Here is a 16,892-nt window from a genome sequence, read left to right on the forward strand (position 1 = left end):
CAGAGTTCTTGCCAATGGAGTATCTGGAAGACAGCCAAATATTCTCACTGGCTGGGCTAGCAATCAAGAGTGTATGCCTTGATGCAGTTATTATCTTACCTGGGTGTACCTTTTAAGTGCAGCCTTCTTTTGCACCTAAGTATGCCTAGAAAAAAGAAGTCTTCCAGGTTTTTCTGTATCCTGAAATTTCTTGTCTCACTTCCCCCAGTAAGTAACATAGCACCTGCTCATTTACTGGTTGTACGTGTGTTTTTAATTAGACACATGTCTTTTGGAGGCATTTCAGGAGCCGTTAAACTCTTTTTCTCTTTTTGAACATAAAAAAAAAATCCCCAATTACTTCACTGCTTGTGTCAGGCTTGATTCTTAAAGGTTTGAAATGTTTTTCAGATGGAAGAGACTGTGGCAGCCAAACATGTATCGTCTTTCAAGTTATGTCAGTTCCATGATTTTTAACAAAGAAAAGTCATCTGGTGGATGACAATGCTTGACAAAAATCAAAGTAATGCTTACCATGTAGATCAATTTATTCAACTTACTGGAAAATTGTATAGAGGAAGAGAAAAATCTCTAATATTACAAACTTCAGCACCCCTAAAGGGAAGTGCCAGAAAGTTCATTGATAAGTCCTGGTTTATGGTGTTTCTTCTTTTCCAGTGCTCAGGCCACTCTTAAACATTTGGCATAAAGTAGTGCATTAAACCTCTAATTCCCCTAGGGTACTAAATGATACCTCCCTATTTTGAATATCTGATGGTGGGTTGGCTTTAAGAAATCTACCAGACCTGCTTCTCCTCCCATGATAGTTTATCAATTCCATTATCATTCAACTAAGTAGAGTGGCCTAGAATTGCCTGAGCTTCCTGAGGAATTAAAGATAATCATCATCAATAAATATTTATTGTACACCCTTTTTCTGGTTAAGAGACTGTGCCAGGCACTGTACAAAATCTGATTACAGCTCCACAGCTACTGCCCAAAGGGGCTTGCAATCTAATTATAGACAGCCCAGATGAGATAAGCACAGATGACAAGCTCTGGCCAGGCAATCCTGTGTTGTTCATCTAAAAGAGAGAGAGGATTAAAAAAACATAGTGTACTTTGTTGGGTTAAAGGAAAAATGACTTTCCCTCTCCTCCAATCCTATGTGTTTATTTTCAATCTGGGTTTAGGGAAATAAGTTTGAATGTTCGTAAATGTTGCTATCCATGAAGTCTTATCCACTGCTTTATAAAGTCCGAGGCACATTTCATAATTTTTGCTGTTCTCTCCCTTCCTTTCTTCTTGTACACCCCCAGGCCTTGAGCAGGACTTAATGCCACTTAAAGCAGAAATAAGTGGTATCCAAGAAATAGCCTTTTTCATAGCAACAAGGTTTTGGCCTTTCTTATGTTCTGAAGCACCAAAGCAGCAGAGAGACTCAGAGGAGAAACCATATAATGAAGAAAGGGTAACAAAGACCCCCTCATGTTTTATATCAGTGGTTCTCCAACAGCAGCTCCTGAACCACAGCACCGACATCATCCGGAAACTTTTAGAAATATGCATCTTCAGGCCCCACTTCACACCAACTGAACCAGGACTTGCAATGGGACTCAACCACTTGGGCTTTGACAAGCCCCGCTGGTGAAGCTGAGGTGCTCTCGGGCTGAAAATCGCTGCTTTGTATGCTCCACAATCAGAGGGGTTTTGAGACAGCTCTGTCACTGCTCCTATTTGGTGCCTACTGGTATAAAAATCCCAAAGCAGACATGCTGCTAGAATGTCTTTGGCCAGAGTTGAAAAGGCATCTCCATAAACTCAAAACAAGCATATTTAGGACATTAATGAGGAAGGACTGAATGAAATTTGTGGGGAAGGGGAGAGGTCAGAGTCCTTTGGAAGAGTCTTGTTCCCTACGTGGTTCCCAGTTTGTTCTGGAAGAATCTGAGAGTGAATACAGGGAAAGAAGCCCCTGTGATCTGCTATGGTGTCTTTAGATTCCATTGGAAGTTTGTAAAGTACAATAACCACTGTCAGTGTATTAACCCAAGTGACCTAATGATTCATCAGTGATGACCTTGTGAGTGAAAATTACCTCGGCTGTAGGAGATGATTGCTTGCCAGGACCTGGTGTCAGGAGTTGCAAAGTTGGACGTCTTAGATGTGGAAAAAGAGATAGCCGAGGCAGCACAGAGCAAGACTGTTAGTCCACTTTCACACTGCTGATAAAGACATACCCGAGACTGGGCAATTTACAAAAGAAAGAGGTTTAATGGACTCAGTTCCACATGGCTGGGGAGGCCTCACAATCATTGCTGAAGGCAAGGAGGAGCAAGTCATGTCTTACATGGATGGCAGCAGGCAAAGAGAGAGAGCATGTGCAGGAGAACACCTCTTTATAAAACCATCAGATCTCATGAGACTTACTCGCTATCATGAGAACAGCACAGGAAAGACTTGCCCCCATGTTTCAATGATCTCCCACTGGGTTCCTCCCACAACACTTGGGAATTATGGGAGCTACAATTCAAGATGAGATTTGGGTGGGGACACAGGCAAACCATATCAAAGACCAACCAAGGGGAGCAGGAAGACCTGACATTCCTCCGAGAAATGGAAATGCAACTGTTGTGTTGAGCACCTACAAACTCACATAGAGAAGGCACAGATTCAAGACATGAAAGAAGAGACCCAGAGCCAACAAATGAGACATGGAGTTTTATCAGGGGCTAACACATAGGGCAGAGAGTCCAGTGGCAGTGGGCTGCATAGGAGAACCACCTTACGTACGGTCCAGTGGCAGCAGGCTGGGAAGGAAAACCATCATCACTTGCAAACAACATGCAGTCTATACAACATTTTCACTTAACATCCTCCCCTTAATGTCCTCCATCTGGCAACCTTCATCCAACCCAAAACTCAGGGCCTCAATCCCCTATATGGCCTGTGTTCCACTGGACAGGCAGAAGGGCTCAAATGTTCTTCACAGACAAGAAATGAATCTCCGGGTTGGCCACTCCAGGATTCCCTGGCTTGGAACACATATTCAGGTGTATTTGCCGTACATATTCAGGGTCATTCTCAGGGTATGCTTAAGTTATTGCTATCAAGTACGTTTATCATACAGCAACTATATGACTGTATGTGGTCCTTACACAATGGATAGGTTTATGACTTGATTATCTAAGGAAGGAATGAAAAGGAAGAGGAAAGAAATAAAAGTGCAAGAACCATTGGGAGGTATCTAGGGGCAGATCAAGGGAGTCCTAACAACTTTGTATACAGTATCTCATTTAATACTGACTCCTAAAGAGAGTTAGGTGATGACTCAAAGTTCCAACAGTCTGTCCACTTTGGAGTCAGGAGTTGAGCTTAGGTCTGATTGACTCCAAACCCTGTAGGATGCCAAAATGTATAAGATTCCCATTATAAGTAAGGCATGGAACTCTAAGAATTGTAAATACTTCTCTAAATTTCACAATGACTCTCTTTTTTTTTGGTGTGATTATCACCCCCAATTTAGGAAACAGCCTGAGAGAGAGGAAGCAGTAATGGAGTTAGGGGAACAGAGCCCTGTGGCTTCCACCTTCACCTCTGATTTAGTCGGGGAATGAGAGATCCAGTAGATGTAAAAGCAATGGCAGACCTCAGTAAAGGGGGAACCACATGGGCCTGAGGGAAGATGCTCCATGGTAAAATTATAAGGCTGTGCTCTGATTTCTTGGTTGGGGGAGACCTTAGTTAGCTCATCCTGGAAAGATTCTGGAGCCCAGAAAAGGACTCTGACTTTAATATCTCATTGGGATGATGGAGACTAAGCCTTTCTACTCAAGACAGCAGAGGGTTTATAGAGCCTGGTATTGTTCTTTTCAGCGTAACTTAAGTGGCTACTTGCAGTACAGAAAAGACTGGCTGAAAAACCAATAGTGATTCCAGGACAGAGAATGGAGAAGCTTTTTGATTTAGGGTCCCAGGAATTCCTATTTCTAGAAGGAATGTGCTTTAGACTTGGAGCATCCTCAGAGAGCTCTATAAGACTCACGGGATTACTGAAGCAATTCAGAGCTCTAACATCTCTGCATCTCAAATTTCTTTTCAAGGATAATTCAAGTAGGGAAGCCCTTCTGGAAATACAGGACTTGAAAGCAAATAAAGGCATTCTATTAAGAATTAACTAAAATTAATACAAGAATATATTCCATTAATTTCAATTTAAATTAATAGGGGCATATTATAAGACATTGGTATTACTAGGATGTTCAACACGAATAGTTTTAAAATGAATGTAAAAGCTTCCCTCTCTTAATGTTTTATATAATGCAATTAAAAAAGGAATTCATTTAGCTATAATGTGCACATATATATTTTTAATATAATTATGTGTGTATGCCACAGCTATCCATTTACAGATTTAACTATGTATAATTTTAAAAATTTAAGCACATACAAATATAACATTTATAAGGACTTATTTATTTTAGATACATACATCTATGTATATCATTCATATAAAAATGGCTGTGGAGGAAAACATTGAGTATATCGTTTTCAGTTTATGTCTTGCTATATTTTGAGGAGTTAAATCTTTAACACTTTAAAGATTTGTTTGCTTTAAAATACCACGGTAAAGTTATCTATTAATATAGTGCATTGGTTTGTTTGATAAAGAATTATGTCATTTAAAGAAATACTGGGCCATTATGTCCTAATGACAAGCCTAATGAGAAATGTCTGTCTCCAAATTTCACAAGAATAGAGAAAAAGTTGTTATGCAGCTGAGCCAAATTATGCTCTCCACCCCATCTGAGTAATTTAAACCCAGGTTGAATTGGGACAGGGACAGGTGTAATTGGCCTAGTGTCTGCTATTTCCAGCCTTGCAATTACCATAATAAGGTTGTCTATAGAGAGGTCAGAAGCTAACAGCCAGTTTGGCTGTTGCCTTCTAAGACTGTCATCGGTGGGAGAACAAGGAGTCCATTGGGTCAGAAGGAAGAGCTGAATAGATGGTGGTAATTGGTCTAGTGACAGGAAGGTCTACCAGAAGACAACAGAAATAGTCAGTGGCATTGAAAGACAAGGTAGCAACAAGGAAGCATGTGGGATGAATGACATCAGTGGATTTATAATTATAGTATGAATGAGGCTGGGGAGAGGCCGTGGGCCTGTAGTTAACAATCTAAAAAATGTTATGTGCTGGCTGTAAATTCATTAGAAAAAGAGACATGTACCCATAACCAGCTCTCTTGACTTATCCTACATGTCCAGGTCATAATGCAAACCTCAGAGGAAGAGAAAGTGCTGCTAGTCGATTTAAGAAGTGTCAAGTGTTCCATAACGGACCGCTCTGGGGGAGTGTGTTTTAGAATGAAATTCTAAAAGGGGCTCTCTTTAAGCACAGACTATTTTACTTTCCTGAAAAAATAACACTGGTGACACTAGTTTCCTGGGGTGACTTTCACAGTGCATACATGGTGCCCAAGGATGTGGATCTTGCAAACTTGATTCATTCCTATTGGCTTTGTACCTGCATAAATCTTTCCATAGCCTAGACCAAGAGTCCACTATCTCTTGCTGCCTCCACCCTTTTCACTGTGGATCTGTCTACATCTGCTGTCTTAGGGTCAGTCCCCTTTATGAATTAAAATTTGAAGAATTGTTTACTGATGCTTTTCTACCAGCCTTGGAGCCTCCCTTTTTCACTGAATGAGTTCCAGTTCAACAAGAACTTTATTCATGGTTCTCCTTTTCGATAACTCTGTAGTGATGAACAGTAGTTGCTGCAATCAAATTCAGTCCAGTGACAGTCTTTAAGTGTGCTGCTGTGGATTTCTAAGAATAGTTCCTCCAAGGTACCTTGTATACTAGGAAAATAGAATTGAGTTAAGAAGGGAAGAGGCTTTTGTTACTCTTAGTTTTTCGCCCTGTTGACTATGGAAACCACTTCATTTCTGCTGTAACACTCCTACTGTGTCTCCCTATTCATTTCTGATAATGTATTACTTTAATATCCACTGAATGAATGCTTCCCCCCACCCTCTTTTTTTTTGTTTGTTTTTGAGACAGGGTCTCATTCTCATCCAGGCTGGAGTGCAGTGGTGCGACCATGGCTCACTGCAATCTCTGCCTCTCAGGTTCAGCGATTCTCCCACCTCAGCCTCCTGAGTAGCTAGGACTACAGGTGCACCATGCCTGGCTAATTTTTGCATTTTTTGTAGAGATGGGGTTTTGCCATGTTACCCAGGCTGGTCTTGAGCTCCTGAACTCAAGCAATCCACCCACATTGGCCTCCCAAAGTGCTGGGATTACAGGCATGAGGCACCACGCCCAGCCTTTATAGATGCTTCTTAAATAGATGAATGAATCACTGAAGGAGATCTTTAAATGCAGAAGGACTCTTGTAAATTAATATAGGTGACCATTTGTTGAAAGTTACAAAAATCTTCTCTGCAAATTTTCTATCGTCATTATTGAAGGGCATGAAATTAGTTCACAGCATGCATGAAAGAAACTGCTGCTTTGTTTTTAGGATAAGGCATGACCCCCCACCAAAAGTAGGCGGAGAATAATTAGGAGCCATGTGCATGAGTACAGTTTAGTACCACAAATATGTATTAAATGTCAGTTACTGTTTTAGGAGTTACAGATACAAACGTAAAGAAAACAGCCTCTGTTCTAAAAAAATATGTATGTTCTTGTGAAGTAGATTGGTGGCAAAAGAGTGATCTATCTATCTATTTATCTATATATATATATATATATTACTCCTAGCATAATACACGCAAACACACACATACACACACATATATGTTTAGTACAAATATATATATGACTCTAGGTCATATATATACTCTAGGAGTATAAAGAAGAGACACTTAATCTAGCCACGTTAATGGACAGCTGGGAGTGGATGGTGTGTTTGAGATGAGTAAGAGATACATTAATTAGTTAAGGCTTTCTGGATGAAGTGAAAAACTTAAGCAAAGAAACAGTCACATAAGTAGGAAAATGAGATGGTAGAAAGAGATGGAACATGATGTCAGAGAGAAAATGGTGGTATCATGAAGACATTTGTGAAATGTATTTATAGATAAAAGCATGAATTGAATACCTATAGGATGCCATTTGAATTGAATACTTATAGGATGCCATTTGAAAATTTAAGATGGGAATACCCTGACCAGATTTATATTTTCTGCATGTAATGTAACTCTGGTATATAGTTGTGATATGCTTTTACTATAAAGTATAAAATTCTTTATATCTTTTATATTTTACTATAAGATATAAAATTTTCTTATAGTAAAATATAAAAGAATGGGATGCTCACTTAAGTTTGATTTTTTTTTTCTTGTTTTAGAGATAAGGTCTTACTGTCTTGCCCAGGCTGGTCTCAAACTCCTGGTCTCAAGCCATCCTCCTGCTTTGGCCTCCCAAAGTACTGGGATTACAGATGTGAGCCATGGTACTCGTCCAAGTTTGAATGTTAGATAAATAAGGAGTAACGTTTCAGCATGAAACATACCTATACAGTATTAAATATTGTTTGTTATTTATCTGAATTTCAAATTTAACCAGACTTCCTGTATTTTATCTGGCCACACTGTTCCAGGGCAGTGTGAGCGATGGGTTTGGGGAACTCTAGGCAGGAAACATGGAGCCCAATTAGGTGGGCAGAGAGTGGCTTGAATTAGGGCTGGGTAGTGGGAATGTGGGAGGAAACTGAGGCTCAGCTGGATGAATGAATCCGTTCATCCCAAAGGACCCCAGCTAGGCAGAACCAAATTTGATTCTAGGTTTCTTCAACTTAAAAACCCATGCTTTTATCCCCAATGGTTTATTCGTCCATCACCTGGCTTACTCACCCTGTTTTCTCATTTAAATGACAGAGGCCAACTGGTCTAATGATTACCATCATTATTATTATGCAAAACTGCCTCAGTAGATACCAACCCACTTTGAGGATTGGCTGTCCCTACATAAGGTTATCACTTCTGGATCAGTTAATTGTTGACCCCTTGCTCAAGGTCAACCAAGGTTTCCTTTTCTTTGCAAGCACTGCATGCACGGCAGATTCTGTGAGGGGCATGCCAAATCCAGGGAGAAAAATGGCGGAAATTGGAAAGTTACAAGGGTGATATTTTCCTGTGATTTGCTCTTTCCTCCATTGCTAACCCTTGTTGACTTACTAAGATCTTGACATATGTAAGTTTTTAAAATTTTTCCTATCAACCATAGGAGGTAGGTTTTATAATTATTTTTAATTTACAGAGGAGAAATCTGAAACACAGGCAGGTTAGGTAATTTCCCCAAGTAAGCAAGTTCACAAAGCCTCTAGTGAGTGCCTATCTCCAAGACGTATGGGTGTGTGAGGCTGGAAATGAGAAATGTTTAGGATCACTAAAAATTAGCCCAAAACTTAAAAGTAGCTATGGGAACAGATCTCAAAAGTGTAAAGGCAGAGATATAACGGGAAGGTTTTCTTCCTAGCTGGGTGACCTTGAGTAGGTTCTTTAAACACAGGATTTGTGAAATGGGAAAAATCCTCTCTTCACAGCATTTTTAGGAGAAGAGCCTGTTTTTTATAAGCCAAAAACTGTTTTATTAATGTTGCTATAGCATAGTTTTAAGGTGATTTTTTTTAACTCAATAGTAATTTCCTACCTATGAGCCAAGTAACATTATCACAATTTGAAATACCTAGTTCTATTGATTATTAAATTATTACAAGATAATAAAATAATTTGTGATTATTAAGCAATTCAGCAAAAAACACTTTATGATTTAGTATCTGTTAATATCATTCTTAGCTTCAGCTTTTTTTCCCTAATATGCTTTTTATTATACTTTTTAGAAAGTGAGATTTCTTCTAAGGTTCATCTCTTCTGGGCCTTGTCTAAAGTTTTTTAGTTCTTGAATACAAAAATGATGCCATTAAATGAACTCATCACTATGTAAGGCGTCCTGCACAACGCATACTTAGGATAGAATAATTTAAAGCCTCCAGTGTTACGTAGCTTTGATCTTATTCTCCTTGTAATAAGAGATATTAACTAAATCAAGTAACAGATTTAAAAAATAAACAGATTAAGATATATCTACATGAAATTACCAAATGGGTCAAGCTATGTACATTTTGTATGTTGATTAACGGAATGATCCAATTCAATTTGACTACTGAAATAAGTAGGTCATGCATGAGCCAGTAATATAGACAGAAACCCAAAGCTACTTACTGTGAAAGAAACACAAAATCTCTTATCAAATATCTTTACTTCTCCACACCTGTGTTGTTGTGTTTTAAAACTTTAATGACTCAAAGTTTTCTAAATAAATACATGCTTAGTTTTTTTTTAAATTTAACTAATTCAAAATTATTCTGTGAGTTACTAGAACTGTTCAAACACTGCTTCTTGAAAGAAAATCTTTATTGTTTTCTTCTGGTAAGTATACATTTACTTTAAAACAAGATTCTATAGCAAATTAAGAAAGGGAATAGGGGCTTTTATCCATTTCTTTGGAAATGGCCATAGAGACAATGAAATAAAACAAATAAGGCCAAGACAACAGTATTGTTTTATTATTTCTGAGAGTGAGCGTCAGATCTTAGGGCTGAAGGCTGGCAGGGCTGTGTTATTTTAGGCTTGGTTACAAATCTGGGTAATTTAAGAAGACAGTTTGTTTCTAGCTTTCCTGGGCTCTACAGCCCCTGTGCTTTTCCTTCCCTGTACCAATTCAGAGGCCAACTCCAGGTCAAATTTGGAGGACAAATGCTGGTAATATAAATATATGTTGCTGGGCAATGTTAAGAATGGAGTCTGCAGCCTACAGTCTGTCCTGTGACTTTTAGTTCTTTATTTGGGGAGAGAAAGTTGATCGAAGTCTTTAAAAACATTTTAAGCTGGCATGCTTTCAATTTCTCAGCCCAAGTGGCAATTATCTGGAGAAAAGTAGTTGATTACATCTATATGAAACTTTTCATCTGGGTTTGCCAAGGCATTTTTTATTAATACAAATTAATTAACTTCACTAAAGTTAAAGGCAGAGTAGCATTTTTATTATGGCCCATGGAAGGATTAGGCTGTACAACTGGAAAGCTGCATGGTATAATTCAATGTGTGGTTGTAGGGGTCACTAGCAGTAGTGTTTCTGGAGTCCAAAATAGATGTTCCAGTCACCAGCTTGAAGGCTTGAAGACCAGTGCAAGCTTTGGAATTGGTCTTCAAGCCTTCAAATTGGTGACTGGAACACCTATTTTGTAAAGTGAAAGTAAATTTGTAAAATGAAGGTAAATTTGTTTACTTTCATTGCTCTCTCCCTATTACTGTGCCTCAAACCTATGTGTGGAAACCTGCCCTACCTATATATGGAAATGTGGAACCCCATGATAAACCTATGTTGTTCAAATATGGCCTCTATTCTCCATGTTTTCCAAAACTGCTGTAATCTGTGATATGTTCAATGAGTTGTTTCTGAGTATTCTGATGTTTCAATAAATTTGTCAATAGCCATGGCTATGGATGGAACATCTTCATGAAAAATTAAAAAGACTTTTTAGTTAGATTTTAAATGCAGTATGAAAATATTAGTAGCTCACTTACCTTTCCAATTAGGTGTATTTCAAAGTGAGTTTGCATTTCTGAAGAAATGTAAACTGACACAAGGAAAATTGGCATGTTAGGAGACAAGGGTAGGATTAAAAATGTGCTGTTAGTTCATTGGTAAATTATTTAAGCCATTGTGGGGAGGTGGGTGTTGACTCTATTTTTCCTGCTGGGCACATCAGAATATTAAAGGGAGGTAATAATGTATTTCAGCAGGCTCTTGTGTGAGTTGCTATAAATTGCAGAACTTCTGTCACAGATTATTAATTTTTCTTAACTTTAATCTCTGAAAATGAGAAAAAAGTGAGATAGTAATGCTGAATTTTGAGAACAATAAGGGAAACATGATACATAATTTGGGAAAGTAATTTATAAACAGGAAATATATGAAATGCATAAGATGTTTAATAATAATATTCTGCATTCTTCCTGGAAAATTAAATACAATTAATAACACATTCATTTTAAGGAAATACATTTGATGTTTAACTGGTGATATAGTAATTCTTCATAAGTCGTTAGATTATTATGAATCTAAAGAAGGGTATATATACGAGCATCCTATTTCTCTTAGACAGTTTTTGCAAATTCTCATAATTTCAGGGCCTAGCTCTCAATTGCCTTAAGAAGAACATGTATTTGCCAGTTTTCCTTTCAGCCTTTTCCCTACCATCATCTGCAGACAAAGATCTTGTTATTTGATTTGATAATTTATTTAATTGACAGTTTAATGGGTCATGTTTCCTGGTTCCAATTTTAATAACAGTGTTTGTGGTTCATAGCTTTCTTTTTTTAAACTTATCTCTGTCCCTAGTCCAGGCTAGCAATTAGGCAATTTGTTTGTTTATTTACAAATGATCCCCCCGAAAATATCAAATAGTATATGGATGATTTTTTTATCATGTCTGCATATTGACCCTGGATGTGATATGGTTAGGAGACTGTGAGAGAGTAATAGGCTTGGCCCAGAGTGAAAAGATCTGCCTTGGATTCAAGAAGCCTGACTCTGAGACTCGTTGGCTGAGTGATCTCAGAGCAATCATCAAGTCTACAGATCACTTCTTATGTTTGTAAAATGGGGTCGGGCTAGTCCCCCTCCCCCAGAATAGATGCCTAATAAATGAATGTTGAGTGCAGTCTCCTTCTATTTAAAGAAAATTCTCTAATTCTATGATTATTGTTATTACAGACTTACAGAATCGCAGGGCTAGAATGAATTTTTGGCTCCACCAATTCAAACTTGACCAACATTTTCTCCAATTACAAAGTAAAGGGGGAAGAAACAAAGAAAGAAAAAGTAGATACGCAAGTCAGAAAGGCAATTTCTTCTCTCTCTTTTATGTCATAATCAACAAAATATTTCCCTATGATACATTCATCATCGCCCTCAGATTACATATAAATGTCACCCACCATATAGAAAGGACTGGGCTCTCTCTGGTTGACTTTGATACACGTCATATCTGAAACTCTGAGTTTGATTGTCTTATGCACTTTATGTCCACCTTTTAAAATTCTGCACAAAATCCGGCATGAGCAGTAATTTGGTTAGTTGGTGGTTACTTTCTGGTTTTATTGATTTGGAATTGGCCCAAGACCCTCCTGGTTTGTCATACATTTGGTTTTGGAATTAAAACAGGAAATACTGAAGCAGATTAGAATGGAAACAACAACAAAGTGGTATTTTCCAAACATGAATAAAATATTGGTTTAAAGTAGAGGGGATTTCCATGACTAAAATCTTTTTGTATTTCCCTAGCTCCAAAAGAATTGTTTTCCCAGTCTGGAATTGTGATATTCCACTGACAGGCACTGATGAAAGATGAGCTAGAGATAAAACGATGCCTCAGGAAGGAATGAAACCAGAGGCTCACACCCAGGGGAGGGGCACAGCGCACCTGAAGATTACCCAGGTGCCCATGGGGCTTGATGTTTGCATTTTTTTAAATTTTGTTTTTAAAGAACACCTCAGCTATGCAACATAGCTATGGCTTCGTGCCTGTGCTCGGTACAGGGATTTGATTGATAAAGTTCCCACCACATTAGACCTGGAGGCTGAGCCCAACATCTGGAGCCAAGTTTTGCAATCGAGTCTTTATATCACTAGTGAAGAACTGCTCCCTGCAAATAGGCAGCAAACCACATAGTGTTCTTTCACAGCGTGAATGATTGGCCTGTGCATTTGTTATGGCATTTCTTTCTATGGTACTTCCCATTTCAGATGAAGCACAAGTAAGAACTGTGTTTCTCTCTTTATTTTTAAGAAAAATAGCAAGAGAGGGTCTTGCTATGTTGCCCAGGCTCAAACTTGGGATTCAAGCAATCCTCTTGCCTCATCCTCCCAAAGTGCCAGGATTACAGACGAGAACCACCACATGAGCCTGGCCAAATGAGAACTTTCTGAAAAAGATATTGCCATCTAGAAAACTTCTTCCCCTAAAGTCTTAGAATTTGATACTCAAATGGTTTCCTATTTGAAAAAATTTATGATTAGATGTTTTGGTAAGACAAAGAGATTTATTCTGAGAATCATGGCAGCCACCTTTTGATGGGTATAAATGGTCTCTGTGAAGTGCTATCTCTACTACATAAACACGACTCAATAAAGATTTCTTTCAGCAAATGTTAAACCCATTGATGGAACTGAGTCAAAGAAGAATGGTTCTTTATATTCCCTAATTCAAATACCTTGTAGTCAAGATAGTAGTAATGCATTTATTTGTCAATACTTTATTTCTTTATCCCAAGGAAATAATTGGGTTGAATTGCCCATTTGTGGTATTTTGTAAGATAACTGAAGGAAATGGTGCCTTTATGTAGAAATTGGCAAGAGGATGATTTTGTATTTTTCATTTGCTAGTTCTCTTCCCTTGTTAAGGCAGACAAAACTCATGTAAGATTTTTTTTTCATATGCAGAACATAAATGCTGTGTGATGCACCTAGAGGGTTATTTGGATGCCTTCTGACCTTTTGATGAGTGAATTGAGTGAAATGGTGTATGTGAAAACTCTTTGATACATATATAGTTCTAAATAAATGTATAACATTGCTGCCTATTGTAGGCTTTCCATTCGAGGATACAGTGTGTTCTCAGTGCCACACTCCTGTGCTGATCTTTTCAGGATAAAACTATCCAGAAAAGCTCCTTCCTTCCACCTTGTCTTTAGTACTACACTGAGTAGATTGTCTTTGTAGCAGATTTAATGTACTCATTAGTCCAAGTCCAGACAAGGAAAGTTACTCATGTGAAACTAAAGAGGTAATTACTGTGGGTAGCTTGTTATTAAATTAATATTGAAATAACATATACCTTTTTAGATGGCCTAATTTGAAGAGAATTCACCTGCCTTGTCTCTATGAATGAGAAATGACTTAGTTGAGATCTATTCCTGGCAATCAGGTAACACTATCTCCAAATGTAAGGAAGCATGACACTAGATCGCACTGCATGTTACCAATGGATAAAACCAAGAAACTCAGACTTGCCTCAAGTCTGTCTAGTTCTGTTTCTACAACTTTGGAAAGAAGTTCAGGAACATATGTATTACTCAAGAGAAGTGTATGATGAAAAGCTTACTGCAGTTAAATAGCTTATGACTTCATGAACATTTAAGTGCATTTACCACAAACGGATAATGTTATTTATGTTTTGGAATAAATAGAGCTGAAATAAATATGATTACTACCTGCAAGTATTAACATTAAGAGGTATGTAAATTCCTTGTATTGAAAAGTATATATATCTGAACTTTTTGCTTGCCACAAGTCTTGAATGACAAGTAACAAACATCTATTTAGAACTCACTGGGATCAAGGTCCTATGAATAAGAAAATGCCATATACAAAGAGAAACTGGACTCCTATCTTTCACCATATATAAAAATTAACTCAAGATGGATTAAAGACTTAAATATAAGGCCTGGAACTACAAAAACACTAGAAGAAAACCCAGGAAAAACGCTTCTAGACATTGGCCTAGGCAAATAATTCATGAATAAGACCTCAAAAGTAGATTCAACAGAAACAAAAATAGACGATTAGGACTTAATTAAACTAAAAAGCTTCTGCACAGTAAAAGAAATAATCAGCAGAGTGAACAAAGAACCTGCAGAATGGGAGAAAATATTTGCAAACTATTCCTCTGATGAGGGCCTAATATTCAGAATCTACAATGAACTCCTCAATAACTCAACAACAGCAATAAAACAAATAACCCCATTAAAAAGTGGGCAAAGAACATGAACAGACTTTTTCAAAAGAAGACATACAAATGACCAACAAACATATGAAAAAATGCTCAACATCACTGACATCACAGAAATGCAAATTAAGACCACAATGAGGCACCATCTTACACCAGTCAGAGTGGCTATTATTAAAAAGCCAAAAACAACAGATATTGGTGAGGTTGTGGAGAAAAGGAAAGGCTTATACATTGTTGGAGGGAATGTAAACAGTTCAGCCTCTATGGAAAACATAACGGACATTTCTCAAAGAACTAAAAATAGAACTACCATTAAATCTGGCAATCCCACTCCTGGGCATACACCGAAAGGAAAACAAATCATTATATCAAAAAGATACCTGCTCTTGTATGTTTACTGCAGCAGTATTTACAACAGCAAAGATATGGAATCAACCTACCAGTCCATCAATGGATGATTGGATAAAGAAAATGTGATACACACACACACACACACACACACACACACAAACACACACACACACACCATGGAATACTACTCATCCATAAAAATAAATGAAATCCTGTCTCTTGCATCAATGTGAATGGAACTAGAAGTCATTATTTTAAGTGAAATAACTCCGAAGCAGAAGGTAAAGTATTGCATGTTCTCACTTATAAGTGGGAGATAAATAATGTGTTCACATGGACATAGAGAGTAGAATAATAGACACTGGAGACTTGGAAGGGTGGGAGACTGGGCATGAGGGATGAGAAATTACTTAATGGATACAATGTACATTATTCAGGTGAGAATTACACTAAAGACCCGAACTTCACCTCTTTCATCCAGGTAACAAAACTCCACTTGTATTCCCTAAATTTATACAAAAAGAGGGAGAGGAAATGCCATGTCCTCAAGTAACCTATGAGAGGAGAGAGGGAGAAATAAGATCTGTAAGGCAAAATATGGGAAGGGCTGTGACTAATGTCACAATCAGGGTACCAGTCTGCATACCTCTCTTGGGAACTCTGGGAGTTAGGTCAGGCCATGTATGAAGACCCTGTACGTCTCCTGGAAGAAACAACACCTATAAAGTTTGTCACCATTTTTCTAGGTCAACGGGGAAGATAGGCTCTAAATAAAAGGGGTAGGAGAGTTGACCTCAGCCTCTTTTGGAAGTGCACCAAGAAGGGAGAGAATTTGGCCTGCGTGGAGAAACCTTAGGCCCACAGCCGGACTGCCAGTTCTGAGTGAGGAGGGAGCTACACTTCCGAGCACGCTTCATGACTCAGTCACACGCTCCCTGTCTGGGCCTGGCAATCCCCCATGCTCTGCTCTGGGTTTGTCTTCTCCTATTCTTTTTACCCATAGTGAAAAGAATTTTTCTGCTCTGTTTTGTCACTAATTTCTCCTGGTTCTTAAGTTTGGCTTACATGTCTCTTCTTCCAGGAGGCCTCTCTTGACCTCACAATAGGATGAGGGGACCTTTTTACACATTCCCATAAGCATCCCATTTTTTTCCGGTCAGAGGGCTTATCTCATTGGACATACTTGCCTGTTGACGTGTGTCATTCACTAGACTGGGAGCCCCATGACATCGAGGTGTGGGTCTCTCTTTCCTCATTTTTTAGGATTCTGAGTCATACTTGCCTTCCCTTCGGTGCTGCTGCACCAATTCACAGTTGTGTGGACTCCTCCTGTGGATCTCCCCTCTTGCTCTTTGCACAGACAGTAATATTGTCCTCCTATGTCTTCCTCTTCTCAGTCATGCAAAAAGATTCTCTTCAGTCTTAGTCTTTATTCATTTATTCTTATTTTTTAGCCCATTGCATCCAGTATTCCCAGGTGGTCTTCCATCCAAGTACTAACCGGGCTGGATCCTGCTTAGCTTCTGAGACTAGAGATTGAGTACATTCACAGTGCTGTGGCTATAGACTCTTCGCCCTTCAAAACCCATCTTCAACACCTACGGCTTCTCAAGGCTCATTTAGTTGCTCCTGTAGGTCTTCCAGTACCTTCTACATTCATTGGTGCTACCGGTATCACAATACATACAGAAGTAAATTATAATCACAAATATGAAGCCCTTATTTAAATACATCTGCAACTTGTTATTGAG

The 16,892-nt window shown here is 38.4% G+C and overlaps 1 pseudogene, besides 1 other annotated feature; it reads right to left on the reverse strand.

Annotated features, from left to right (window-relative positions):
- Positions 15,474 to 16,673: an enhancer, noted in NCBI's record as "BRD4-independent group 4 enhancer chr10:8697559-8698758 (GRCh37/hg19 assembly coordinates)". NCBI's record gives its function as "activates an origin of replication core promoter dependent on BRD2, P300/CBP, MED14 and CDK7 cofactors, and independent of BRD4, by STARR-seq in HCT116 cells {active_cell/tissue: HCT116}" and the evidence as "EXISTENCE:reporter gene assay evidence [ECO:0000049][PMID:35650434]".
- Positions 16,594 to 16,709, reverse strand: RNA5SP299 (RNA, 5S ribosomal pseudogene 299; annotated as a pseudogene).

Source organism: Homo sapiens, chromosome 10, assembly GCF_000001405.40.
Source record: "Homo sapiens chromosome 10, GRCh38.p14 Primary Assembly".
In the NCBI taxonomy this organism is placed as follows: domain Eukaryota; kingdom Metazoa; phylum Chordata; class Mammalia; order Primates; family Hominidae; genus Homo; species Homo sapiens.